The sequence below is a fragment of the Homo sapiens genome, chromosome 3, assembly GCF_000001405.40.
Source record: "Homo sapiens chromosome 3, GRCh38.p14 Primary Assembly".
Classification (NCBI taxonomy): domain Eukaryota; kingdom Metazoa; phylum Chordata; class Mammalia; order Primates; family Hominidae; genus Homo; species Homo sapiens.
This window is the reverse complement of record NC_000003.12, coordinates 143,083,444-143,111,258: the sequence shown is the minus strand read 5'-3', so window position 1 is coordinate 143,111,258 and position 27,815 is coordinate 143,083,444. Positions and strand designations below refer to the sequence as shown.

At 44.5% G+C, this 27,815-nt stretch overlaps 1 long non-coding RNA gene across 3 annotated transcripts, besides 2 other annotated features; it reads right to left on the bottom strand.

The window, feature by feature from the left end:
- Positions 1–167: 167 nt before the first annotated feature.
- Positions 168–27,547, bottom strand: LOC105374138 (uncharacterized). 3 transcript variants are annotated; one of them, XR_001740939.2, is made up of 4 exons: positions 27,041–27,547; positions 26,402–26,581; positions 2,419–2,583; positions 168–1,413 (listed from the first exon to the last, which is right to left on the bottom strand). It is a non-coding gene; the product is annotated as an uncharacterized LOC105374138 (long non-coding RNA). The 3 variants fall into 3 exon arrangements; XR_924555.3 differs by having other exon boundaries at positions 26,402–26,545; XR_924556.3 differs by lacking the exons at positions 168–1,413; positions 2,419–2,583 and adding an exon at positions 20,048–20,189 and having other exon boundaries at positions 26,402–26,545.
- Positions 25,769–26,417: a transcriptional cis regulatory region, noted in NCBI's record as "candidate enhancer chr3.4297 targeted for multiplex CRISPR interference". NCBI's record gives its function as "positively regulates CHST2 gene expression with high confidence in K562 cells {active_cell/tissue: K562}" and the evidence as "EXISTENCE:mutant phenotype evidence [ECO:0000015][PMID:30612741]".
- Positions 25,846–25,985: an enhancer, noted in NCBI's record as "active region_20648". NCBI's record gives its function as "activates an Ori minimal core promoter by ATAC-STARR-seq in GM12878 lymphoblastoid cells {active_cell/tissue: GM12878}" and the evidence as "EXISTENCE:reporter gene assay evidence [ECO:0000049][PMID:35858748]".
- Positions 27,548–27,815: the final 268 nt, after the last annotated feature.

Genomic DNA, 27,815 nt, shown 5'->3' with positions numbered 1-27,815 from the left:
GTTTAAACAAATAAAGCAATGTCTACTGTAATACCCCCATGCCTTCAATGTCACTTCTACATCAGGTACTGCAGAATCTGATTTAAAAGGTTGCCAATTGGAAAACCTCTTTATTGGCAGAAAAAAATTAAGTTCCTTGAAATTTAGAAACCAGATCAGCTCCGGTACAGAATTTGGAATCAACCCTAGATTGAATTCCTTACAGGTTTACTTTCTGGGTCTATGTTCTTGGAAAAGATATGAAATTTCTTCAGGCCTCAGTTTTCCCCATCTATAATACAGAGCTAATAGCTGTCTCATAGAATGGCTAGGAAAACCTGGAGAGAGCTCAGAAATAAAGCCCATGTCATGGCACGGCACTGACTGGTTAGGAAATAATAATTCTGCCCCAACCCCCAGTGAAAGCCCAGGGCTAAGAGCCTCTTTTTCCTGGGGAGGAGATAAAGCCGGTTAAAAGAAGAATTCAGGATCTACAAACAGGATGCTGTATCACTTTCTTTACCCCTTTCTTGATAAGGACATTGGGGACTTGTTTTGGTGAGGTCCTTTTGCGGGGCAGGGAGGGTTCTGCTTGAGGTTTGTAAGGGAAGAAAGATGGAGAGGAGATTTCAGTGATCAGCGGAGAGGAAGAGGCCCTTCGCAGCCAGTTCACCTGTGACTTTCATTGGTCTTGACATCCACTTGGCCTTGCTATCCAAAGTGTGGTCAGTGGATCGGCTGAATTGGAGTCACCTGAGAGCTTGCTAGAACTGCGGAATCTCAGGGCCTACACCTCCTGTGTCAGAATCTGCATTTTAACAAGACCTCTGAGTGATTGGTCCACATTCAAGTTTGGGAAGCATGGTAGCAGCCACTATAGTATTTAATGTTGAGTAAACCTCCACAATAAATAACTCAGTGTTGTGCAGGTGGGTGAACTGAGCCCCCCTGCCTTTTCTGTTGCATGAGGTTATCAGGTGCATAGTAAAGCCTTCTTCTGAGCAGCTGCTAGCCCATGCAGTGCACTTGTGAAAATTAGAGAGACAGGTCCAGAATGGCTATATTAAAAAGGCAAAAAATAACAGATGCTGGCAAGGCTTCAGAGAAAAGGGAACGCTTATTGGCAGTGATGTAGGATTTTTTCTTCTCAGTCACTTTGCAAGCCAGGGACCTCCAGCCAGCAATACCCCTCCCAGGCCCCACTTGGACACGCTAGCATGCCCCAGCTCACCTGTGTTATAGCTTGTGCCCGCGTTGGGCCATTCCTGAGCTCTTGTACCACACCCTATTTACACCTATCACCTGACAGGATTTGCAGGGTAATTGCCCAGAACTAGAATGCTGATCCAGATTTTTACATTACCCATCCCTTCTGTTTCTTCTGAGCTGCAGCCGGAGATCACTGGTTGGTTCACAGGAATAAGCAGAGTTAGTCTAAAAGGTAGGCAAAAATTTAACTAATAAGACTAGAATTTAATAACAAGTATATGATAACTTTTAAAAAATAATTTTTCTCTCTCCAGTCATCATTTTAGTTAAAAAAAAATGATAGGACTGAATTGTTCGCAAAATAAGCTTTAGTCTTATACTTGGCCTGATTATTTGCATCAAGTGCAGCAAGAATAATTATTTTTCACATAGGCTTTTAAAATTGGCTTTGATGGGGCCGGGCACAGTGGCTCACGCCTGTAATCCCAGCACTTTGGGATGCCGAGGCAGGTGGATCACCTGAGGTCAGGAGTTCAAGACCAGCCTGATCAAAATGGTGAAACCCCGTCTCTACTAATAATACAAAAAATTTAGCTAGGCATGGTGGTGGGCACCTGTAATCCCAGCTACTTGGGAGGCTGAGGCAGGAAAATCACTTGAACCCGGGAGGCGGAGGTTGCAGTGAGCCAAGATCACACCACTGCACTCCAGCTTGGGCGACAGAGTAAGACTCTGTCTCAAAAAAAAAAAAAAATGGCTTTGATGGAACTCTGTTCAGGAATCTCAGATAATACCTTTTAAAGCTGAGCCCAGCCATGGGTTTGTACCCTCAAATACCTATGAGTTGGGTAAATTCCTCTTTTTTTTTTTGAGATGGAGTCTCACTCTGTTGCCCAGGCTGGAGTGTAGTGGTACAATCTTGGCTCACTGCACTCTCCGCCTCCCGGGTTCAAGCGATTCTCCTGCCTCAGTCTCCCGAGTAGCTGGGACTACAGGCAAGTGCCACCATGCCCAGCTAATTTTTTTGTATTTTTAGTAGAGATGGGACATCACCATTTGGGCCAGGCTGGTCTCAAACTCCTGGCCTCAAGTGATCCACCCACCTCGGCCTCCCAAAGTGCTGAGATTACAGGCATGAGCCACCGCACCCAGCCTAAATTCCTCTCTTCTTGAGGTCCCAAGATGACATGGGGCTCCTGGGCCTGTTAGGAAGTGACATTCTTTACTCACCACAGGTTAGGAACCCTGTATAGGGACTAGGTAGACAAGGTATGAGGCCGGTTTTCCCAACAGGCTTTTATTGGCTCTGCAAGTCAAGCTTGATTTTTTTAAGGGAAGCATGCCCTTTCCAGTCCAAGCCTTGGTAAAACAACCAGTTTCTCCAGCTGCATCCTGCTGCAAAACAAAATGGATTCTTGTTGATTGCACTGATGCAAATAGCTATGTTGCCATAAGTTAAGAATATTCAGTTTCCAAATTCTAGAGAAACCAGGCAGAGAGAAACAAATATGCCTCAAATTTTGTTCACAGGAGTATACCTTACTCAATTGTTAAAAGCTGTAGATAGCTCAAAAGAAAAGTTTCCTTGGCTCTGAAAAACAAAACAAAGATCAGCAGTGTTTTAAGCAAAAAAGTTTAAAAAGATTACTTCAGTTTTATGTTAGTTCAGTCCATTCAGTTACTCTTGTTGGCTTGATATTCATGAACATTTCAGCTCTTCATGAGTCCTGTATGTTTTCCTCTATTCCAGTGTTACAATATCCAAAGCTATCAGAAACCTGCATTTGAGATCAGCTGTCAAAGTCCTATAGCTGATTATAAACCATAGTTTGAAGAGGATCAAAACAAAGCAACAATTGTCTGTGAATGACAAAATGTCTTTGGGTAGTCACAGTCAAAAATATGATTGACAAAGGAATTTGCTTATTTCTGTGGTTTGCAATAATATAACCTTAATCATGATTGATAACATATACTCAGATATTAGAATTTTAGAAATCCTATACAATTTTGGGACATATATTAATATTATTCACTGAAATATAACCTGAAGGTTAAACCTTATTTTGGCAATCCCAAATAAATAAACACGTCAAATAATCCTGTTTACCTCTCTTTCGGATGCTCCAGGGGCCCTCTGTAGCATCCAAAAGTAAGGATTTAGAAAAGACAATTTTGAAGCTGAAATTTGATTTTGGGAGGCCTATCAAACATGCTAAATGTTCAAAACACTTGATAGTTTGAAATAAAATTCCAGGTTACCACAAGTCATTTAGCCAAAATGATGACTCAAGAATTTTTTAAAAGGCAAAAACCTTTCATTATCCTTTACTATTACATGAAAATCTTGTTCAAAAGAGAGAAAATCTAATTTCGCCCTCGCATTAGTCTGCTATTAATGTCAACCACAATTTTTTAATGAAACCTTATAAATAATTCTATCCAATCTTAACTAGTTTGGTCATGAGGTGAGATTCTTATAGACCTTTTATAACCCTTTATAAGTTTTTGTTAAAGAGCAGATTAGTGCCTTAAGAAAATCTTGTGCTTTTATTTCAATGCTCAATTTATGGAAAAACCATATAATATCCTTTTGAATCTAGTCAATATGTTCATGCACAGAGTTTCTCTTACAAGATTAATTTTTACAAACCTTCCACAACTTGGTTAAGCCTTTAGCTTTATCTTATTTAATTTAAAACAATCTTTTAACCCTTTAAACTACACAAAAATTTACATTTTCATGCCTTCTTGTAATTTTTACTAAAAACATGTTTTACTTTTCTTACACACCTTGCATGTAAATCTATTTTGAGTAGTCTCAATTAAATGTTATAATGGTAACACTTACCAATTTTTAATTTTAATGTAAAACCTGGTAAGTTATTTTAATTATGTGCTAGGTGCAGCTAAGGTCTGACACTTCCCAGCATAGTTAGGGGCATAGTTAATGCCATATGTCCCCAGGCCTTACCAAACTGTAAAGCAGGCAAGTTGAACAAATTTTCAAAAGCCAAAGAAGCAGTTTATAACCTTAAAACATTTAGCAAACCTAGTGTCTGACCTGCATAATCTACACCATATATTTACATTTTGAAGACATTTGTATTTTACCAATTATCTTTAAAGCTGTTTTTATTTCTCAAATATGAAAGTCACATGAACTAAAAGGCATTACAGCTTTTGTTTCTTCAAAAAAAATTGATCTAAGCGCTTATTTTTCTTTAGGCCAATCAGTTAGAGCTCTTTTTTATAAACATCACACATATAACACATATATAATTACACAGGCAGACAGAAGAAGATCCAGTAGTTGTAGGATTTTTCATTTACCAATCTACTAATTGGATTACTGGCTTCAGGGTGGAGCCCTTAAACAAACAGGGCTAGGAAAACATGCAGTTTCTAGGGCATAAGAAACAGGCATAGCTGGATGACAAAAACAGATTTTGAGAGGGATATATCTGCTTTTAATTCCTGGGGTTTCATGAGGAAAAAGGAGGTCTTTTTTCCTAAACAGAGTCCGTGGCACCTTCTCTGTTTTTCCCAAGGAGTCCCATGCTCTCAGAAGTTCCCTTAGGGCCTCTTATGTGTGCATTGAGTGGCAAGACAAAATGGAGAAAAATAATTCAGTCAACTGAGGAGACAAAACATCTTCCAGCAACACAAGATCCAATAAGAGAAAAAAAAGAAGATCTTTTAAATATACCTATAGCTTGGATATCTACTTTTAGTTAAGCTGGCTTTTAACCATAACATTCTTTAAGAAAATACTTTTAAATCCTTTGTTACCCGACTTTAGCCAAGTGGCCAATATTTCTGGCTTTTGAACTTTACCAAAAGTAACCTCACAGGTGAAACCAACAAGCCTCAACTAAGGTTATGACTTAACTACGAGCATACAAGGTATTTTCAAATAGGTGGTAAGCAGTTTTCACAAAATCTGAAATCTTTAAAGGTAGCTCAGAGAAAGGAAGATTTAAGAAAGGAAGTTAGAAGCTGTTCTTCGAGGGGAGATATTAACTAGAAAGTACTCATTCCCATTGTAAAATGGCAGAGACCAAAAGAAAGTACTGCCACATTGTTACAAGGTCAAGCTCCCAAGGATATAAAACAAGATGAGACCTCATCTAGTTTTTTTTTTCAAAATTTTACAGTGATCTTTACCATTCCTTTACCAGTTTGCACAGGGAGAGAAAGGTCAGAAGTACGACTGGTTAAAAAAAACTTTACCCTTTGCCGGCATGTCAGGTTTCTGGGTTCCCTTCCCCCAAGTTCAATTTTAAGCCAAGCAGTTTAAGGTTTGGGGAAATTAGCTTTTCCCTGTTTGGGGAATGCATCTGAGGGGAGTGTCCTGTGGTACAGGGACACGATTACCTATCCACAAAGAGAGGACAGAGGAAGAAAAGGAAAAAAAATAAAAGTTCTTTTTTGCAAAGGAGTCCCAGTGATTCAGGGGGCATTTGAGAGAAATACAGACTGAAGATGATTGCTTACCCATTTGAAAAGGGGGGGGAAGACTGTCCCTTAGTTCCTTTCTCTTCCCAGCAAATACCAGGGTATGTGAGGGTCAGAAAGAAAAGACATTCCCCTTCTTTCTTCCATCCTTATATCCCGAGTCCTGGTGATCTCAGCAGGGTGCCACCCATGGGTGCCAATGCAGCTTTCACCCGTGTTAACAGGAGACCCAGGTGGTAGGAATTATCCACACTCACCCACGCACTACCTATACCCCATGCTGTCGGTAACCTTTGAGTTTCCCAGATCTCATTTATGCCATGGATACTAGCATGACCTCTATCCACGAAATGGAGGAGGGGGCACCTAATCAGCAGGAATTAGTCATGCTCACCTGTGCTGTTCCCCTTGACTTCTGTTGTTGTCTGCCTCTGGATCCCTCAGATCTAGCTTTTCTTTCTAGGGCTTCAACCTGAAGCTTGGAATTGAGTTTGGGACAAAAAGGTGTCTCAGGAGGATGCATAGACTCATTAAGTTAGGGAGTACCATGAATTGGGTCCTGGCCTAGTAAGACACCTTTCAAAAGGAAAAAAACCTCTCACACAGAAAAGCTCCCTGTATTTGCAGGGCTATGTGAACTCCTGACATGGTGGAGAAAAGAAAAAAAAAAAAAGCTTAAGTGCACGGGGGAAGGTGCCTGGGGAAAAAAGCCTCTTGATCTATGAAAATGGGTTCCTTCAGCAGGGGAAAAACCCTTGGATCACTGTACCCTCCTTGCCAGGCAGAAATCACATTGTTCTGAATTGCATATCTGATGGCTAGGCCAAATGCTCATTCTACCTAGTAATATCTCTGCAATATGCAACACCCTTAACATTATAAAAGAAGAAATAGGCACCATGACAGCCCCCAGAAAAGAAGAAAAATAACATAGAAAAGACTGCTGGATTGGAACGAGGCCAACATTCCCAAACCCCGAGAGCAATTGGCTGGGGCGTTGGGGACCTCTCCAGCACCCTGTCCTCTGTAGCCAGGCCATTCATTCTTAATGGTCTCACCAGAGGTTCAGCACTTCATCTGCCTTCAGAAAAAAAGTCTGAGGACAAGAATCCTCAGAAAAAAGTGAAGAGTCTAGGTCTACATTTATTTGCTCTTCAGGTATCCCAGACAAGCCCCCAAAATAATGTAGGATTTTTCTTCTTGGTCACTTTGCAAGCCAGGGACCTCCCATCTGGGCCCTGTTTGGCCACTCTGGCATGCCTCAGCTCACCTGTGTTATAGCTTGTACCCATGTTCAGTGATTCCCAAACTCTTGTACCACACCCAAGAAGAATGAGAATATGCTCGACATTGAAGGGTGAGGAGGGCAGAGAATTTTATTTATTTATTTTTTTTTTTTTGAGATAGAGTCTCGCACTGTTGCTGAGGCTGGAATGCAGTGGCACAATCTCGGTTCACTGCAACCTCTGCCTCCCGGGTTCAAGCGTTTCTCCTGCCTCAGCCTCCCAAGTAGCTGGGATTACAGGCAACTGCCATGATGCCCAGCTAATTTTTTGTATTTTTTTTTAGTAGAGATGGGGTTTCACCATGTTGGCCAGGCTGGTCTTTAACTCCTGACCTCATGATCTGCCCACCTCAGCCTCCCAAAATGCCAGCAGCAGAGAATTTTATTAAGTGATGAAACAGCTTTCAGCAGAGAGAGGATGTGGGGGTGGGCACCCTACACAAAGGCAGGAAAGTCCCCAGTGTGGCTGGGTCCGGGGCTTTTTATGGACTCAGAGTGGGAAGTATGTGCTGATTGGTTTTGAGTATGCAAAAAGAATGGTTAAAGTGAAGGCACCACTCAAAGGTGGGCATGATTGTGTAGAACACCAATTAGGAAAGGGTAGGTATATGTAAAATAGGTTAAGGGTGAAGATCAACTAGAAGAAAGTACGCCAAATAAGAAGACAAGTTCTCAGTCTGGTCCAAGGATTTAACCTGTAGCTTGGCTTTCAGGCTTTAAAATGCCTTTGGCTTGGAGGTGGGGTTTCACCAGAGACCCAACCCTCTCTGCCTAGGCATTTGGCTGCCTCCTGCTACTCTCAGTGGGAGTGTAAATTAGTTCAGCCACTCTGGAAAGCAGTTTGGAGCTTTCTCGAGCAACTTAAAACAGAACTACCATTTGACCCAGCAATCCTATTACTTGGTATATATCCTAAGGAAAATAAACCATTCTACCAAAAAGACACATGCACTCATATGTTTCATCAAAGCACTAAGCAAAGATAAGGAATCAACCTAGGAACCTATCAACAGTGGATTGGTTAAAGAAAATGTGGTGCATGTACACCATGGAACACTACACAGCCATAAAAATACACAATCATGTCTTTTCCAGCAATATGGAAGCAGCTGGAAGTGATTATCTTAAGTGAATTAATGTAAGAACAGAAAACCAAATACTGATGCTCTCACAAGTGGAAGCTAAATACTGGGCACATATAGACATAAAGATGGCAACAGTAGATACTAGGGACTACTATGAGGGGAGAGAAAGAGGGAGAAAAGGGTTGAAAAACTACCTGTTGGTTACTATGCTCACTACCTAGGTGATGGGATCATTCATACCCCAAAGCTCAGCATCACACAATGTACCGTACCCATGTAACAAACCTACATGTACCCCCTGAATCTAAAATAAAACTTGAAATTAAAAAAGAATGGACCGGGCACGGTGGCCCACACCTGTAATCTCAACACTTTGGGATGCCAAGTCAGGTGGATCACTTGAGGTCAAGAGTTTGAGACCAGCCTGGCCAACATGGTGAAACCCTGTCTCTACCAAAAATACAAAAAATTAGCCAGGTGTGATGGCAGGCGCCTATAGTCGCAGCTACTGAGGGGGCTGAGGTGGAAGAATCGCTTGGACCTGGGAGGCGGAGGTTGCAGTGAGCCAAGATCACACCATTGCACTCCAGCCTGGGCAACAGAGTGAAATTCAATCTAAATAATAATAACAATAATGACATTATAATAATATAAAATAATAAATTACTTCATAATACTTTAAAAGAGAGAGAGATGTGTCTCCCTCCTCTCTCCTATGCAGCTCCTCACCAGGGTACACAGCCAGAGGGCAGATGCAGGATGGATTTCAGTGGCATTCACTGCAACACTGGTGATTTGTTGCCAGATATAACCTGTACAACTGTATGAGGGCCTGTAAAAATAAGTAAAATAATGCTTAAAAATTCCCCAAAATTAGCCCACCACCTTAAACCTCCACATGTACCAAAAGCAGCAGAAATAGCTGCTTTGCTTGCATTAGCCAGAAAGAAAAAGAAATTATAGCCACACTTCATTACAGTAGCAACACATTGTGACACTGGTTCTCTATGAAGAAAGACAAGCGCCCTGGGCACGTCGTGAGTCTCACAGTGTACATTGCCACACACAGAAGCAAATTCTATTCTAGGCAATGTTATCTCTTATCCGTGTAACTTATAAACTCTTATGCAGAGACATGGAATTTTCCACAGGTGATCTCTGTGCTTATGTGTGTAATTTCTATGGTGTACTGGTGAGTGAAGTGGAATGTACAATTTCATACAGATATCATTTGGCATCACAGGATTAAAAACCCAACAGGGGAAAACACTGAATAAAGAAAGTAGCTCTCAATCTAGTTGGTTTCATTCCGCGTCTTCTCAGTTCTATTATTAGTCTCTTTCCCCCTTTCATCTTCTATCGCAGTTGCTGAATTGTGAATTCCCAAAGTTTCTTGTTTGTTTGTTTTCTTGGAGACAGAGTCTTGCTCTGTCACCCAGGCTGGACTGCAGTGGTGGGATCCTGGCTCACTGCAACCTCCGCCTCCCAGGTTCAAGCGATTCTCCTGCCTCAGCCTCCCAAGTACCTGGGACTAGAGGTACGCGCCACCACGCCCAACTCATTTTTGTATTTTTAGTAGAGACGGGGTTTCACCATGTTGGCCAGACTGGTCTTCAACTCCTGACCTCAGGTGATTTGCCCGCCTCAGCCTCCCAAAGTGCTGGGATTACAGGCGTGAGTCACCGCACCCAGCCGTATTCCCAAAATTTTATGTCAACTCTTTATACTTTGGCTCAGATCTTGCCTAATTACATGCTGAAAAGTTAGATGCGATTTTGGTTCAAAATGTAACATCTCATTAGTTTTCAGACGATATATCTTCGTCCTTCTATAGGTTTCTCTTTTCTCAGTCACAACATTACATGTAGTTCTACTTACTTCAAAGGAACAACTTTTCAGCTCAAGTACAGTTTCTGCCACATCCATTTCTAGAGCACAAAATGTTTTGTTGATTTCGTGCACTGTTTCTTTGCTTTGCCTTGTTAGCTGTCAATTTTTATGCACAATTTTATTGTTAGGACACAACTTATTATGCAGAAAAGTCTCTTCTGCAAATCCATGCCCCACTTACAGTTTTTGGAGACAATCTGCATTGTAATGCCACAGGTCAAATTCCAATTCAACAAATAACCTAAACCCCTAGCCTTTCTATGAAAATGTTGTTTTCTTAACCTCCAGCCAGTGTTCCATTTGTCATTTATTTCAGGATCTAATTGGCTTAATGAAATTTTTATGCAGCATAAGAAATTAGGAATTTATTGTAGCGAGATACTGTTTTGATTTTTATGACAAGCACCTGGGTTCACCCAGATTTTTTTCCCATCATTATTTTAATGATGGATATTTTGTTTCTTTTATCCCCAGTATCTCATCTGCCTAGAACAAGGAGACTGGTGTGATTTTGACCTGTCATTGTAGTTCATCATTGTATACTCATCATAGTGAGCCATGCAAATGTATAGCCATTGCCACTGCCTGGACTCTGTGCCCGAAGAATGCAAATTTGATGTACGACATCATGACATGTGGTGTTGTGCTTGGCAGAATGGCAGCACCAACGAAGCAGGAACAGTAGTCACTGATGACAGAAGGAAGCGCTCTCCTACTGGTGAAAATTAATTCTTCTCAGTTAACATGCATGGCACTGCTTTGGAAGCTTTTGGATCTCTGGCTTGTTTAGCTCTGTCCACAATAATGTGGAAGCCACAACATCTTTACATATTTGGAGCATTTTTGCTGGTGTCACCAGGTCACGGCTCTTGGGTATCCGTTTCTCAAATGTGGCCCTTCTGCATAGAGTGCTGTGTTGGAGAGGAACCTAAGAGAGGTGGTGGCAGTTGGTATGTTTTGGCTGAATGGCATTGTTTCTTAAACAGCTGGATTTGGCCAGCCATCATGGCCATCAGTTTGGTGTTTACGGCCCTTATGAAGCTCCCATTTCACTCAAGAAGGCAATCGTTTACTTATGTAGTGCTGGAAACCCTTAGAAATATGTGCTCAATAGTTGCAGATGTACCCACAGCTTTCCCCTGGTCCCAGCCTGTGTCAGCAATCTTTTACATCCTTTTAAATAACCCACACTGCAATCCCCCAATAGAATATTATCCATCTGGTTATTTATGGCAAAGTGCTGAATATGCACTGTGTTTATTTGGGCTCACATTTAGTCTAATCCCATGGTTCCTCCTGATTCAAAGTCTTGATTTACCTACAAGACCTCCCACATCACTGATTCTTGCTGTCAAAGGAAGGCGGATAATGTCATCAGCTTGCATGGTTTACTTTCAAAGCAACTTGCAGATACTAGTCCTTATATCTCCCACGAGAGAAGGATGGAAATTTTAAGAAGACTGAACATGTGGTACTAATTTTGCCCATAAATAACTAGGTCCAGCAGAATTTTAGCAACTTTATTTCAGTGTCTCCCAAGGACTACTGAATGCCTAAACACTGCTCAGAGAACAGAAAACTAAGAAAAGAAGATCTTCTCTCTATCCTCCCACATCCAATCATTCTCCTCCCCATTTCTCCCACAGAAATGCCACCTGATTGGCAGCAAATAAGCAGGTAAGCCTCATGGGCAACATTAGAGATACATAAACATGCCAAATAACATACATAAACAACTGAGATACATAAACTGACCTAGTCCAATGGTACTGCAAGCCAATGACAGCAAAAGGAATGCTGAGTCCACAATCAGGAGCTTCTTTCTGCCCTTGAGTTCTGTGTTTATTCTCCAGAGTCACAGTCTCTTTCAAGTGGTCCAAAGACCTTCTTAAAGTGAAATTTAAACACTCCCTGTCCTCCCATAAATCACTATGTCCAAGGTTGGGTACTGACAGCCTGTTGGAAACACCCTCCAGCTGATTCTGGTGCACACTTAAGTTGAGGAATCACCGTCCGTGGCAGCAGCACACACCTTGACTCAGCCTTTCATGGTCTTTTCCCCGATTTGGAAAGTCCACTGGTCCCATGCCAATCTCTATCCAAAGAAAGCCTCATCCAGGGAGACTTACAGAATTACTACAGGAAAAAGCAAAAGCTAATGCCCAGAACTCCTTCCGGAGCTCATGTCTGAACCGCTGAGTTAGCTGATATTATAGAGATGCATGTGCTTGTCTTATTTCCTTTTGTATGGGTTCCTAAACCTCATTCATCGCTCTACTACTTTTATTCTCTTTCACCATAAGCAGATTCCACTTGTCCTATTGTTTAATATTTTCTTTCATCTGACTCACTGTTCAAGACCTAATTTATGTTTATTTTAAATAAAAATTATATACCACCACAGTGAGTTGAAACCATTATCATGTTCTAGAAATGAAAAGTAACCAAAAAATAAAACAAAAAAGTTGTAACATAATAGTTTGATTATGGCCTATAAAAGGCTTAGACATATTCCTTATTTTTTTAAAGGAGGGGGAGATTAGTTTTAGAAAGCATTAAAGACAGAATGCCCCAAACTAAAATTGAAAATCATTTCTCATTCTCCTAAAAATTACCTCATGAGTAAGTAGTAGGGTTCCTAGTCTTTAAGAAACTCGGCCCCAGATATTTAAAGTTTCTCAAAGACAAGGGTAGTGCATTATGGGAGCTATTGTGATTCAAAGGTAGACGTACTGCTGCATAACAAATCAATGTGAACATTTTCTAGTACCGTCATGTACATCTTTAAAACCACTTCAGGACTTAGCATGAGTGCTTTGCATATGGAGTGCTCTGAACAAATATTTGTTGAGGGAATGAATGAAGGAATGTACAAACATCCTGGCTGTAAAATTGATTTTGTACCTTTTCTCAATTTAATTGCTCCATTAACCTCTACTGGTTCAGTTCAGTGTCCCCCTAGCACAACACAAATTCTACCCTATGATTTCTTTCTCCCATGTGCTGTGTTCCAATTACACAATTCAAGTAGACAGCACCTGATTTGTATGTGATTTCATTGCGGTCAGTTTGGTCATTTACGGAGGCTGAAGTGGATTTTTTGTTTGTTTATTACACTTCCCATCTTGCATGCCAAATCATCCTTTTGGTTTACACTAGGTCATGAACCACACTGTTTATTGGAGCTACTAGTTGGCTTTTAAGTTTGGGTTTTGGTTTAGGGTTGTATGTCTAATATTAATCCTGCAGTCACTAGCTTCTCTGTACCTGAAGGTCTGTGTTTACAGCTATGAAACCTAAAGCAGTTTCACTCAACCTGGAGCTCTGACTCCAGCTCACTAAACAACTTTTTCATGTTATTTTCTTATTAACTTAATGTTAAATATTTCCATTCCTGGCTCATGAGCATTGCAAAATATGATAGCAATCCCTATGCACCCAAAACTGAGAATTCTTTTGAAATGCTTATGTAAACTACATATGCATACAGTTTGCTTTTAAGACTTTTAAAAACTCTTACTTTGCTTTGCTTTTAAGTGTATATAGACCTTCTTTTCAGAATAACTTATAATCAATTATTTTCTAAATTCAGAGTCACATGGGTACTATATTATTAGTCTGCTTGAGCTGCTCTAACAAAATACCATGAGCTAGGTGGCTTCAACAACAGGCACTTATTTCTCACAGTTCTGAAGGCTGTGAAGTCCAAGATCAAGCTGCTCACTGATTCAGTTCCTGGTAAGAGCCCTTTTTGCAGCTTGTAGGCAGCCACCTTCTCTGTCCTCAGGTGGTAAAGAGATCTCTCTTGGTTGATCAATCGATCGGTCTCTATCAGTCGATCGATCGATCTATCTCTTTCTCCCTCCCTCCTTATAAAGCCATTAATTCCATCATGGGGGCCCACCCTCATGATCTTAGCTAACCCTAATTACCTCCCAGAGGCCCTATCTCCAAATACTACCACATTGGAGGTTAGCACTTCAACATATGAATTTGGAGGGGACACGATTCAGTCCATAGCAGGTATTGTACATGCAGTTACAATAAAAGAGAAAATACATTCTGCTTCTCATGAGGCTTGGCATTTTTACTCACCAAACAAGCAAAACCTAATAAGACTCATATTCAACATGTTTTTTGAGAAATACTAGAGGCATGAAATAGATATTTTTCCCCAAATTAAATCACAAAACACACATATAGTCTGATATAGTCATTTTCCATTTCAAATATTATTACAATCTCCTTATGGAGTACACATTGGTATCACCTATGCCAGAGGGCCATTTGTTATGACAATCAAAATCTTTAAAAGTTTTTTACTACGAATGTTCTGCTTCCACTAATGAAAAACTTGCCTATTTAGATCAACATACCATTGACTATGAAAGTTAACGGATATATAACATGAAGGGCCAAGAAAAGCCAAGAGAACCTCAAAAGAAAAAAAGTAGGAGAACTTAATTTTTAGATATCAAGACTTGGTATAAAGCTCTCATAATTAAGAAAATATGACATTAGTGCAGAAACAAAAAAATTGACCATGGACTAGAATAGACCAGGCAGCTCTATCACAGTCTCATGTATATGTCTCAGGATCCTTGGGGTGTCACTTTGCCAGCAGGAAACCTCTGTGGCCAGTGGCGCCTTTATCTGAGTTTTCCTTGGGCCTACTGGGCTCATTCTACCCACTTGGCCTGGTGGGCTGTGCTCAGCTTGCACTACCAGCCCAGAGCCCACACCTGTCAAGGGCAAGCCAGGCACAGAGCAGCAATGGGTGTGTGAGTGAGCAAGTATGCAGTCTGGCTACTGCACACAGCCTAGCATGCCAGCTGTGGTGGGGTGGGCAGCTCCAGGAACTGGCATGGGTACCGGCTCCCTGCAGGGCTACAGCTGGACCAGGTATACTGCAAGCAGCTTCCACTGTGGGCACCGGGTAACGTGGTGGTGCCCAGAAGCTTGGAGACACCAGGAACCACAGAGCCCCAAAGAGGGTGTCACACCCCTAGCTTGGGGAGCTCCTAGGTCTGGGTTCCCCAAAGGGCTGCAGCACTTCTCTCCTATTTTCTCTTTTTCTCGTTGCCCGCAATATGGCAAGTAGGGGGGTGTGTTTCATCCCTGTTTGTGTTATAGCTCTTTCAGGCCCGCCATTTGGTGGGTCCCAAGCTCTTGTCCCTTGTCCATGAAGAATGAGATACACAGAAAACTGGAGGGTGAGCAAGGCGAAGAGGTGCTTTATTGAGCAACAGTACAGCTCTCAAGAGAATCAAAGTGGGTAGCTCCTATCTGCAGGCAGGACATCCCAATAGCTCTGCAGCCCTCAGAAGAGGGGAGACCCAGAATAGGTAGCTCCTATGCACAGACAGGTAATCCTGTTGTCTGTGCAGCCCTCAGTGGAAAGGAGACCCACAGTGGGTAGCTCTTCTCTACAGGCAGGTTGTCCTGTTATCTGCTGTAGCCTGGCTGAGTCCAGGGTTGTTACAGGCTTCAGAGGTGAGGAAGTATGTGCTGATTGGTCCATGGGTGGCCATGGGCAGGCCCAGAAAAAACACCGTTAAGTTCTCATTCCAGTCCACGGAACTGGCAGCCTGGCCCCCAGACTTCAGGTCATCCCTGGCTTGAAGGTGGGGTTTCACTGGGGACCTGCCCCTTTCCACCCAGGAGCCTTTCTGCTTCTGGCCACCATTCAGAGCACCCAGGCCGTTCATGCTGAGGGGCACCTGCAGGCTCATGCCAGGCTGCCCTTAGCCCCACTTCAGCCTCCCTTCCATGATCGTCAACACCCAAAGTCCAGAAGGGGCCGAGGTAGCAGGAGGCTGGCATGTCAGTGCCACCCCAAGCACCTGAACACCCAGCCAGGTCATGACCGCACCCAGGCTTGGCCACAACTTTGCTCCGAAACTGGAGCAGGTGCCAGGAGCGGGGAGAGGCCAGGCAGTGGGAACAGGTACTTCCAAGCCTGCAGAAGCACCAGGGGTCTTCCCAGGCCCCTGAGAGCACAGGGATGCCTGAGTCTGCAGCCACAGCTGGGTGGCTACAGTTGCACCCAGGAATGCAGAGCTCCTGCCCCACCAACTTGAAAGGGGGCAGGGCTCCCGTTGGCTCTGCTAAGCGTGCAGCCCTGGCTGTGCCTCCACTGCTGCAGCCAGCATCTTTGCAGCAACTGCTCCAAATGGGCTGCTGCTGCCATCATATATGTGGACCCTAAGTTGTGGCAAAGTGGGCACTGCCAAAGGGTAGGACAGAGACAGCCTAAGTAGGACAGAGTTCAAGACCAGCCTGGCCAATATAGTGAGACTCCATCTCTAAAAAAAAAAAAAAACTAGTGGAAAGATAAACCATGAAATGAGAGAAGATGCTGCAATACATGTAAGTAACAATGGACTTCTATCCACATTACACAAAGAATTCCATAGATCAATAAGAAAAAGGCAGGTAACCTAATAGGAAAATATGTAAAAGGTTTGAATAAGCTCTTCACAAAGGAAGAAGATGAAATTGCCAATAGACATGAAGTTTCTCCATCATATTAGTAATCAGGGAGGTACAATTAAAAACAACAAAAAAGAGGACCAGATGCAGTGGCTCACGTCTGTAATCCCAGCACTTTGGGAGGCCAAGGTGAGTGGATCACCTGAGTTCAGGAGTTGAGACCAGCCTGGCCAACATGGTGAAACCCCATCTCTACTAAAACTACAAAAATTAGCTGGGTGTGGTGGCAGATACCTATAATCCCAGCTACTCAGGAGGCTGAGGCAGGAGAATTGCTTGAACCCAGGAGGCAGAGCTTGCAGTGAGCCGAGATCACACCATTGTACTCCAGCCTGAGCAATAAGAGCGAAACTTCATCCCCCAAAAAGTAAAAATAAAAACAAAAACCACAAAGAGCTACTACACACCACCGCCAAAAATGTAAAAAATCTGGCAGTGCCAACTGTTAGTGAGAATAAGAATTCTTATACACTGCTGGTGAAAATCATAAATTGTTGCTACTTTGGAAAAAATGGTTTTGGCATTTCCTAGCAAACGTGAGCATTTTGATACCCTAAAACCCAGCAATTCTGGGTCATTCACTATTCCTTATTTACTGGGCATATTCATTAGAGAATCTGTGGACATGCACACCAGAATGCTTAGGCCAGAACCTTCAAAACTACACTGTTTATAAAACCCAAAGAGCAAAAACAAATACAAATGATTTATAATTATATAGTCAAATGATGGAATATAAAATGGAAAAGAATGAACTAGAGCAGCAATCTCCAACCTTTTTGGCACCAGGGACTGGTTTCATGGAAGACAATTTTTCCACAGATGAGGACAAGGTTGGTTTCAAGATGAAACTGTCCCATCTCAGATCCCTCGAATGCACAGCTCACAATAGGGTTGGCGCTCCTATGAGAATCTAATGCTGCCGCTGACCTGACAGGAGGCAGAGCTCAGGCAGTGCTGCTTGCTCGCCCACTGCTCACCTCCTGCTGTCCAGCCCAGTTCCTAACAGGCCTCAGACCAGTACCAGTTTGCAGCCCAGAGGCTGGGAACCCCTGAACTAGAGTATAAACAAATACATGAATAAATTTTGCTATTACAGTGTTGACTAAAAGGAGCAAAACATAGAGTATTATCTCCCTCTGCCCAGAGAAACCAGCCTCCTCCTCTCCGCTCAGGGAAAAGTACCCTGTAAAGCTTCCCAGTGCCCAGTGACTCTGTCATTCTCTACCCTGCCAAAACACAAATTAATTGCCTGTGCTTCTCAAAGGGTCATAGAATTTCAGAACAAGAAGGAACCATAAGGAAAAGAGACTGAAAGATGTAAAGAGGGTATTTGAAATGACAAAACTACAAAACTAAAAAAAAAAAAAAAAAAAAAAGGTCAATTTCTGCAGGGGAAATACCCAAACACCCCACACCTTGCCCTTTTCATTCCATCTCATTAATTAACTTCTCCTGACTGGAGTTTCGCAAACTCTATTATAAAAGAAAATGTTAATGACCACCCACAGTAAGAAGTTGATTTTATGTCACAACACTGTACATACACACACAAAATTTCACAAAATAATATTTACATATTACGTAAGATGCACTCTGATATTTTCCATTCTACTCTATTTTTAATGCTATTCTTAAGCCCAGAATTATTTTCATGGAGTATTAATGGATTATAACCTATATTTTGAAAAACAGTCTGCTCCACAATGCCTCTTTGGCCAGATGGCAAGGAGCTCTGCCTTCAATCCTGGCTCAGCCACTTAGGAGTTCTGAGGCCTTGGGAAAATTACTTAGCCTGTCGGAGTCTGTGTTCTCATCTATAATATGGGATCATTATGTTTACTAGGTTATCATAAGGGTTTAAGAAATGTATATGTAAGGAATTAGCACAGTGCCTGACACACAACGAGTGGTCAATAACCAGTGGCTTTGCTATCAGTTTATCTATTTTTGAATTATATTCTTCAACTGCATGACTTCTCTAGAATGCTATGGCTCACAGAAAGCTGCTGTGAGGGACAGTGTCCTGTCACCTCCCAGATTCCTGCCTTGGGGACACAAACTCAGAATTCAGCTGATAGATTCCAGTGGAGATTAGGGGATGAGGAAGCGTGGGGAGAAGGGAGGAAGAGAGGCAGTTTTCTATCTTCCAAAGCCTGTGAGCACAGACCATTTCATCCTCCTAAGCACAGATTGAGAGGCTGCCAGAGCTACAAAGAGTCTTTAAGGTAATCAAAACAAAATTCCTAATGTGAGATCTGAAGGGAACATTTACTAGCTTGCATCAGGAAGAATGGCTTAGAACAGTGGCACCCAGTTTGAGAAGGGGCAATTTTGTTTGGAGGTAAGCTTTTAAAAACCACAAACATACACACACTCACACAGGCATGACCATGCATGCACACACACACACACACACACACACTCCTCTGAGTTGGCTGATAAGAGTAATCATATAGTGCAACAGGCCCATTTTACAGATAAGGAACCTAAAGTCCATAGAATGACTAGCTGAAGGTCATAAGATCTGGGCCAGGAACACAGTTCTCTTCTTAGCCAATGCCTTTCTCCCTCTGCAGCTGCCAGCTGCATACTTCCAAAGCATGCCCTAGACACCCACTGTGCCTCATGCCCCTGCATACAGTGGGGTTACATACTCGTTTTGGAAAACTATGGACACTTAACCTTCTCTTCCTATTTTTTTTTACAAGAACCAAAATTGTTCTGTTCATTTGTTTGTTTTTTGTTTTTTATTATTTTTGGTGGGGGTAGGGTCTCACTCTGTCACCCAGGCTGGGGTGTGGTGGTGCAATCATGCTTCACTGTAGCCTCAAACTCCTGGGCTCAAGCGATCCTCCCACCTTAGCCTCCTGAATAGCTGGGACCACAGGTGTGCACCACCAAACCTGAGTAATTTTTTAAATTTTTTGTAGAAATGAGGTCTCACTCTGTTGCCCACACTGGTCTTGAACTCCTGGCCTCAAGCGATCCTCCTGCCTCAATCTCCCAAAGTGCTGGGACTACAGGTGTGAACCACCACACAAGTTTTTTGTTTTTTAAATCTGTGCAGAAAGTAACATTGATTCCATGTGATGCTAGAAGTATAACCACTCTACCAGCCTGTTTATCGGTAGCCCCAAACCATCAATTTCTCCTTTTGTGATCTTTTCTGAAGAAGCTACAGTGGCCATGTAAAAACTGTCTGTCTTCCCACCTTTTCATTCACCTCATTTGATTCTGAAAATCAGAGAATAATCACTGAACCATTAAAACATAGTTGAATCACTGCTTGATGAGAACCCAAGTCATTTCTTTGGCAGCTGGCACTGCTAGCTCCCATTTAAGCCGAGGGACACAGAAAATTTAGGCCATAAAGTCTGGGCTGGCCTGATCCACTCAGTCTGCAAAAGGCAGGAATTTCCCACATCCAGAAGGCCAAACAACAGCTCAGGCTCAATGTTTCTAAGCTTTTGTCAGTTTAAGTTAGTGCTTTAATGCAATTTTAATAGGTAGTGATTTTATTTTGTATCTAATGAAACCAGCGGAGCCTGAAAACAGACATCAGACTTTGGAAGATAATGAGTCTGTTAGCTCTGGTGCCAGCGTAGCTGAGCAAGGTACAGTACTTAAGGTACAAAGAATAGACGGCTTCAGAAGAGGCTTTTATTAGATTCATTAGGATGGTCATCAAATGAATGATTTCATAGCAGATCTAATTAACCAAAGAATGTGCAGGAGTTGCATCTTCTTCCCGCTAATTGGGCATCTAGACGCCAAGGCGTATTCGCTACCTAGAGATACAGCACACAGATAAACTTGATAGGCTCTTTGTGGGAAAGTGTTTCATGAGGGGGGATTTTATAGCAGAATTTTGAACAACACAAGATAAAAACTTTCCAGGCTTCTGGCTCCTGATGGAGGACCAAGGATGCCTGTGAACTTATCCCTTTTCCCAGCCATGAGGAGAGGCAGCAGCAACAGCAGACGTGAAACTCTGAGGACTCCCCAAAAATGGTGAGACCCAGGTTAAAGGAGAAGAGAAAAAGGCAGTGCCAGACAGCAGAGTGAAGTGTAGGGTGGAGATTTGCTCTGCCAGGTACTCAGGACTGCTCTGGAGCAAATCATCGGAATGCAGAGAAGGCATTTGTGACAAGCAGACGGCAGCTGGCAACACTGAAGATCTCCACAGTGGAGTGAGGCTTGCTGCTGGCAAGCGGGGCTCCTGGCCACCTGCCTGGCTTGTCAATATACCAGAAGGCTGGCCTTCCACATGCCCCATCCGCTCACACAAAAGCACAAGCCTCCAATTTCAGGAAAACTCAGACCTCCACATCCAAAAGGCAAACTCATGTAAGCTACTAGGTGTGTGGAAAATGATCAATCAGAAAAAAGAAAAGAGAGCATAGCAATTTGAAAATAGGACCACGAAAGTAATTTTTTAAAAAGGGAATAATGGAAAAGACTGAAGACCCAGTTGTTCATTTTAAAGCCAGAGTTAAAGTCTCCCAAATATAGAGAAGGAAAGGGGAGGGGAAGGGAGGGGAGGGGATGGAAAAGAGAAAGAAAGAGGGAAGGGAGAGGGGAAGGGAGAAAGAGAGAAAAAATATGTCAAGCATGGTGGTATGTAGCTATTGTCCCAGCCACTCCAGAAGCTGAGGTGAGAAAATTGCTTGAGTCCAGGAGTTCGAGTACAGCCTGGGCAACATAGCAAGACCCCAGTCTCTAAGAAAAATAAAGAAAACATATGGCAGAAAATTAGGGTCATGGAAAATATATTCAGAAAGTTTTACATCTATCTAATAGTAATTCTAGTAAAAGTTTACAATTATACCTGAAGAGAAGAAATAATCAAAATAATAATAAAAGAAGTTGCAGCCGGGCGCGGTGGCTCATGCCTGTAATCCCAGCACTTTGGGAGGCCAAGGCGGGCAGATCACCTGAGGTTGGGAGTTTGAGACCAGCCTAACCAATGTGGAGAAACACCATCTCTACTAAAAATACAAAATTAGCCGGGAGTGGTGGCACATGCCTGTAATCCCAGCAACTCCGGAGGCTGAGGCAGGAGAATCGCTTCAACCCGGGAGGCAGAGGTTGCGGTGAGCTGAGATCGTGCCATTGTACTCCAGCCTGGAAACAAGAGCGAAACTGTGTCTCAAAAAAATAAATAAATAAATAAATAAAAGAAGTTGCCACTGAACTTTCATGTGAAGAAAGATAAGAGTTTTCAGATTGAAAGGGTTCATCAAGTTCCAAACAAGATTTAAACAAACAAAAAAAATACCCTCATCTAGATACATCCTGTTAACATTTCCTGACTCCAAGGATAAAAAGAAAATCTTAAAAGCTTCCAGAAAAAAAAAAAATCAGATTATCAAACTGGAACAAAAATCCGGCTTTTTTAAAGCAGCACTGGGCTCTGGAAGACAATCACGTGATGTATTTAATCGTCCAATGAAAAGTCATTTTCTACCTAAAATTTTATGCCCTGGCAAATATTAGAGTAAAATAGAGACATTTCCAAGCAAACGAGTACCAAAGGATTTATCACCTACATCCTCCATATGAAAGAACTAAGCAAGCAAAATTAAATGAAATAAAATATATTATATATTACGTAAATCAAAGAGTGGCCATTGAATATGATCTCATAGAAGTGAAGGAAACCGGGAGAATTTAAGGGAAAATGCATTAGGCTGTCATGCTTGAAAAATTTCTCTTTAACAAGCAAAAAAATTTTTTAAAAAAAGGATTACATCTCTACTACAAGGCTCAAATCATAGTTGGGTCCACAGTGGCCAATACCTACATAATGACATCATTGCAAATACTGTTAACAGGTTTTCAGCTTTTAGAATTAACCTAAAGACAAGATGACTGCCTTAGTTATAATTACATAAACAGAATGCAGTTGTGGTAAACCATGGCATTGTAAATATACCAACTATAAACTGAGGAGGGGAGAAGAGGTCAAAAAGAGAGACAGAAGAGATGAAAGGAAGAGTGGGTTGGTAATCTACAGGAATTCCCCTGGCTGACAGTCCCCAGAAGAATTAGGCAAAATAACAGGCAACAGAGCAGTAGTATGAAGTGAGCTAACATCTTTCTTGATAGAGAAAAGTAAAAGGGTTCCACTTAAAGTTGATAAATCATGAAGTAGAGGTACAAGCATGTTACCTCGATTTAGGACAGCAAGCACCAGAAAAATTCAGGACAAAATCTATGATCAGTGGCTGCCTCTGGAGGCCCTGCTATAATAGTTGAGAGCAGAGATTTTTAATTTCCATTTTTCATGTTTTTATATGTTTGAAACTTATCATTTTACCATAAGTACATGTTTCTTATGGAATTTTTTAAAATTAAAAAAATGGGTTTTAAGTACTGTGGTCTTCACCAGTGCTTTTCAGATGCAGTTGATAGGAACTCACTGAATTGAATAGATTCATGGCCTTCACCAGATTACAAAACCCACTTATCTTTAAAGAACCTTCTTCAGATGGATGTGAAAGATCAAAATAAAGTCTCAGATATTTCTTTTTTTTTTTCTTAAGAGAAAAAAAAAGAGTAGCTGTGTGAGAACTCTAAAATATATACACAATTAGCACAGTTCGACTACAGGCATAAGTCTCCAAAAGAATGACTGTTGCCCCCGATAGTTCATGCCACTACTAAGGAAAAACATGTGCAGTGCTTAATCCTCTTTCTCTTTTCTGAGTGGTAAGCTCTTCAGGTGCTCAGTGATGATGATAATATTGATTATCATTAATGATGATGATGATTGGGATTGAATGAGAGACTGGAGAGCAGAGAGAAGCCCTAAGGAAATTCTAAACCCCTGTGGCTTCTAGGATCTTAACAACACTAAATGTCCCCAAGGCCCTTTTCATGTTTCTTTTGATGAAATCGTTGGAAACTGTGTCTCTCCTGGTATCTCTACTATAACCCTGGCATCTTCATGGAGCAGGAAAAAAATGAGTTGTCTTGGCCAGGTGCAGTGGCTCACACCTGTAATCCCAATACTTTGGGAGGCTGAGGCAGGAGGATTGCTTGAGACCAGGAGTTTGAGACCAGCCTGGGCAACACAGAGAGACTCTCTCTACAAAAAGCTTTTTAAAAATTATCCAGGAAGAAATCAGGGAGGGCTAACTCCACGGATGACACTGACTGGGGATCCTGCATGTGTGTAGACATGGATTTATGAAATAGAGTGGGAAGAAAGAGGAAGTTTCCCTCCCCCTCCCCCTCTCCCTCTCCCTCTCCCCACGGTCTCCCTCTCCCTCTCTTTCCACGGTCTCCCTCTGATGCCCAGCCAAGGCTGGACTGTACTGCTGCCATCTCGGCTCACTGCAACCTCCCTGCCTGATTCTCCTGCCTCAGCCTGCTGAGTGCCTGCGATTGCAGGCGCGCGCTGCCACACCTGACTGGTTTTCGTATTTTTTTGGTGGAGACGGGGTTTCGCTGTGTTGGCCGGGCTGGTCTCCAGCTCCTAACCGCGAGGGATCCGCCAGCCTCGGCCTCCCGAGGTGCCGGGATTGCAGACGGAGTCTGGTTCACTCAGTGCTCAATGGTGCCCAGGCTGGAGTGCAGTGGTGTGATCTTGGCTCGCTACAACCTCCACCTCCCAGCCGCCTGCCTTGGCCTCCCAAAGTGCCGAGAGTGCAGCCTCTGCCAGGCCGCCACCCCGTCTGGGAAGTGAGGAGCGTCTCTGCCTGGCCATCCATCGTCTGGGACGTGAGGAGCCCCTCTGCCTGGCTGCCCAGTCTGGAAAGTGAGGAGCGTCTCTGCCCGGCCGCCATCCCATCTAGGAAGTGAGGAGCGCCTCTTCCCGGCCGCCATCCCATCTAGGAAGTGAGGAGCGTCTCTGCCCAGCCACCCATCGTCTGAGATGTGGGGAGCGCCTCTGCTCCACCGCCCCATCTGGGAGGTGAGGAGCGTCTCTGCCCGGCCGCCCCATCTGAGAAGTGAGGAGCCCCTCCACCCGGCAGCCGCCCCGTCTGAGAAGTGAGGAGCCCCTCCACCCGGCAGCCGCCCCGTCCGAGAAGTGAGGAGCCCCTCCGCCCAGCAGCCACCCCGTCTGGGAAGTGAGGAGCGTCTCCGCCCCGCAGCCACCCCGTCCGGGAGGGAGGTGGGGGGGTCAGCCCCCTGCCCAGCCAGCTGCCCCGTCCGGGAGGGAGGTGGGGGCGCCAGCCCCCCGCCCGGCCAGCCGCCCCGTCCAGGAGGTGAGGGGCACCTCTGCCCGGCCGCCCCTACTGGGAAGTGAGGAGCCCCTCTGCCCGGCCAGCCGCCCCGTCCGGGAGGGAGGTGGGGGGGTCAGCCCCCCGCCCAGCCAGCCGCCCCGTCTGGGAGGTGAGGAGCCCCTCTGCCCGGCCGCTCCTACTGGGAAGTGAGGAGCCCCTCTGCCCGGCCAGCCGCCCCGTCCGGGAGGGAGGTGGGGGGGTCAGCCCCCCGCCCAGCCAGCCGCCCCGTCTGGGAGGTGAGGGGCGCCTCTGCCCGGCCGCTCCTACTGGGAAGTGAGGAGCCCCTCTGCCCGGCCAGCCGCCCCGTCAGGGAGGGAGGTGGGGGGGGTCAGCCCACCGCCCGGCCAGCCGCCCCGTCCGGGAGGGAGGTGGGGGGGGTCAGCCCCCTGCCCGGCCAGCCGCCCCGTCCGGGAGGTGAGCGGCGCCTCTGCCCGGCCGCCCCTACTGGGAAGTGAGGAGCCCCTCTACCCGGCCACCACCCCGTCTGGGAGGTGTACCCAACAGCTCATTGAGAACGGGCCATGATGACAATGGCGGTTTTGTGGAATAGAAGGGGGGGAAAGGTGGGGAAAAGATTGAGAAATCGGATGGTTGCCGTGTCTGTGTAGAAAGAAGTAGACATGGGAGACTTCATTTTGTTCTGTACTAAGAAAAATTCTTTTGCCTTGGGATCCTGTTGATCTGTGACCTTACCCCCAACCCTGTGCTCTCTGAAACATGTGCTGTGTCCACTCAGGGTTAAATGGATTAAGGGCGGTGCAAGATGTGCTTTGTTAAACAGATGCTTGAAGGCAGCATGCTCGTTAAGAGTCATCACCACTCCCTAATCTCAAGTACCCAGGGACACAAACACAGCGGAAGGCCGCAGGGTCCTCTGCCTAGGAAAACCAGAGACCTTTGTTCACTTGTTTATCTGCTGACCTTCCCTCCACTATTGTCCTATGACCCTGCCAAATCCCCCTCTGCGAGAAACACCCAAGAATGATCAATAAAAAAAAAAAAGGAAAAATAAAATAAAAATAAAATAAAATAAAAATTATCCAGGAGTGGTGGCACATGCCTGTGGTCCCAGCTACTCATGAGGCAGAGGTAGGAGGATTGCTTGAGCCCAGGAGGTCAAGGCTGCAGTGAGCTGTGATTACGTCGCTGCACTCCAGCCTGGGCAACAGAACAAGACCCTGTCTCAAAAAAAGAAATGAGTTGTCTTGCTATTTGTAGTGAATTCTATAATTTTGTGTTGCTTCAGCGTCCATTTTGAATATAGCTTTAAGCAATTTCCCATACCAGAAGCAGGGCTTAGTCACCGTCTACAGTTTCCAGTTCTCTGCCTCCTCCCATTTCCTCAATATGGTCAGTTCAGATATCTGGCTCATACAACCCCCTCCTGGTGACAGCCTCCCCGTGGGACAGCTAGATACAACCTACTTGACTGGCTCCACTGACCAGACACAACACATGCACTGTGGAGATACGCCCCAGTGGCCTCCTCTCAGGCACAGCAGGACTCCAGGGCGTCCAGAGCCTGCCTGCTCTGAACCCACCAGGGAGTCCAGAGCCTGCCTACTCTGAACCCACCAATTGGAACTCCCACCTGGGTAATGCCCTGGACCCCAAAAAAAGACACAGGCTCGCAGATCACCCGCACTCTTTCGCTCCCCGCCCGCCGGTGGGCTTCCCATGTCCCAGATGGCTCCCCACTTCCTATCCGTCCTGAGAGGCGCGCCTCCCTCTTCTCTGGGCTGTGGAATGCTCTGCTTCTGTTAACTCACCTGTTTTGTTGAGAGGCCTCCTCTGTGTCTCCCCCAGTCGGATGCACCTGAAACTAACTTCTTTCCTGGTCGGGGCTCTCCTAGAGAGTGGCTGTCTTCGTAGGAATGAACTGGACACAGATGGGACAAGAGCAACGAAGGCGTCTGCCAGGATAAACACGTTTTCTGTGTGTGGGACCCCTAGTCATGGTCGGACACTTAAGCATTAGGCAGTCAGCTGGGATAAAAAAAAAGATTCCATGGGCCGAGCGCGGTGGCTCACGCCTGTAATTCCAGCACTTTGGGAGGCCGAGGCGGGCGGATCACAAGGCCAAGAGATCGAGACCATCCTGGCTAACACAGTGAAACCCCGTCTCTACTAAAAATACAAAAAACATTAGCCGGGCATGGAGGTGAGCGCCTGTAGTCCCAGCTACTCGGGAGGCTGAGGCAGGAGAAGGGTGAGAACCTGGGAGGCGGAGCTTGCAGTGAGCAGAGATCGTGCTGCTGCACTCCAGCCTGGGCGACAGAGCGAGACTCCGTCTCAAAAAAAAAAAAAAAAGATTCCATGAAAGGCACCTCATCAACACCCACAGGAACCCCATGGGGCAGGGCGAGGGTTTACAGCCACTCCGATGGCTATCAAAGGGTGTAGCTCACCTCTCCACTCTTTGTGTCCGAGCAGCCTTGTCTGCTGCTTTGACCAAGAGAATGCAGTGGAAGTGAAGTTATGTAGCCTCAGAGCCTACACCTTCACAGGCCTTGTAGTGTCCAACCTCATCCCCTCGGAACACCTGTGGCCACCATGAGAGGAAGAAGCCCAGGATGAAAGACCCAGGTGAGAGAGTCCCAGGTGTCCCAGATGAGCCCAGCCCTGGCTGTCCCACCTGTTGAGACCCGCTAACAACAGCCCAGTCAACCCACAGGATTGTGAAATCATAAACCAGTGTTGCTTTAAGCCACTAAGATGTGGGGTGGTTTGTTAGCAGCCATAAATAAGTGACACAGAGCTCGGATAACACAGCCCACTAATTGTATAGCTCAGGAACTAGAGGTAAAGTGATTTATTAGGTCCTTAAAGGCAGAATTAAGATAGAGCCCCACAGGCCGGGCACGGTGGCTCACGCTTGTAATCCCAACACTTTGGGAGGCCAAGGTGGGCAGATCACTTGAGTTCAGGAGTTCGAGACCAGCCTGACCAACATGGTAAAACCCCGTCTCTACTACAAATACAAAAAATTAGCTGGGCGTGGTGATGGGTGCCTGTAATCCCAGCTACTCAGGAGGCTGAGGCAGGAGAATCACTTGAACCTGGGAGGCGGAGATTGCAGTGAGCCAAGATCATGCCACTGCACTCCAGCCTGGGCGACAGAGCAAGACTGGGTCTCAAAAAAAAAAAAAAGATAAAGCCCCACAATAAAACCAGTGGCTTCTT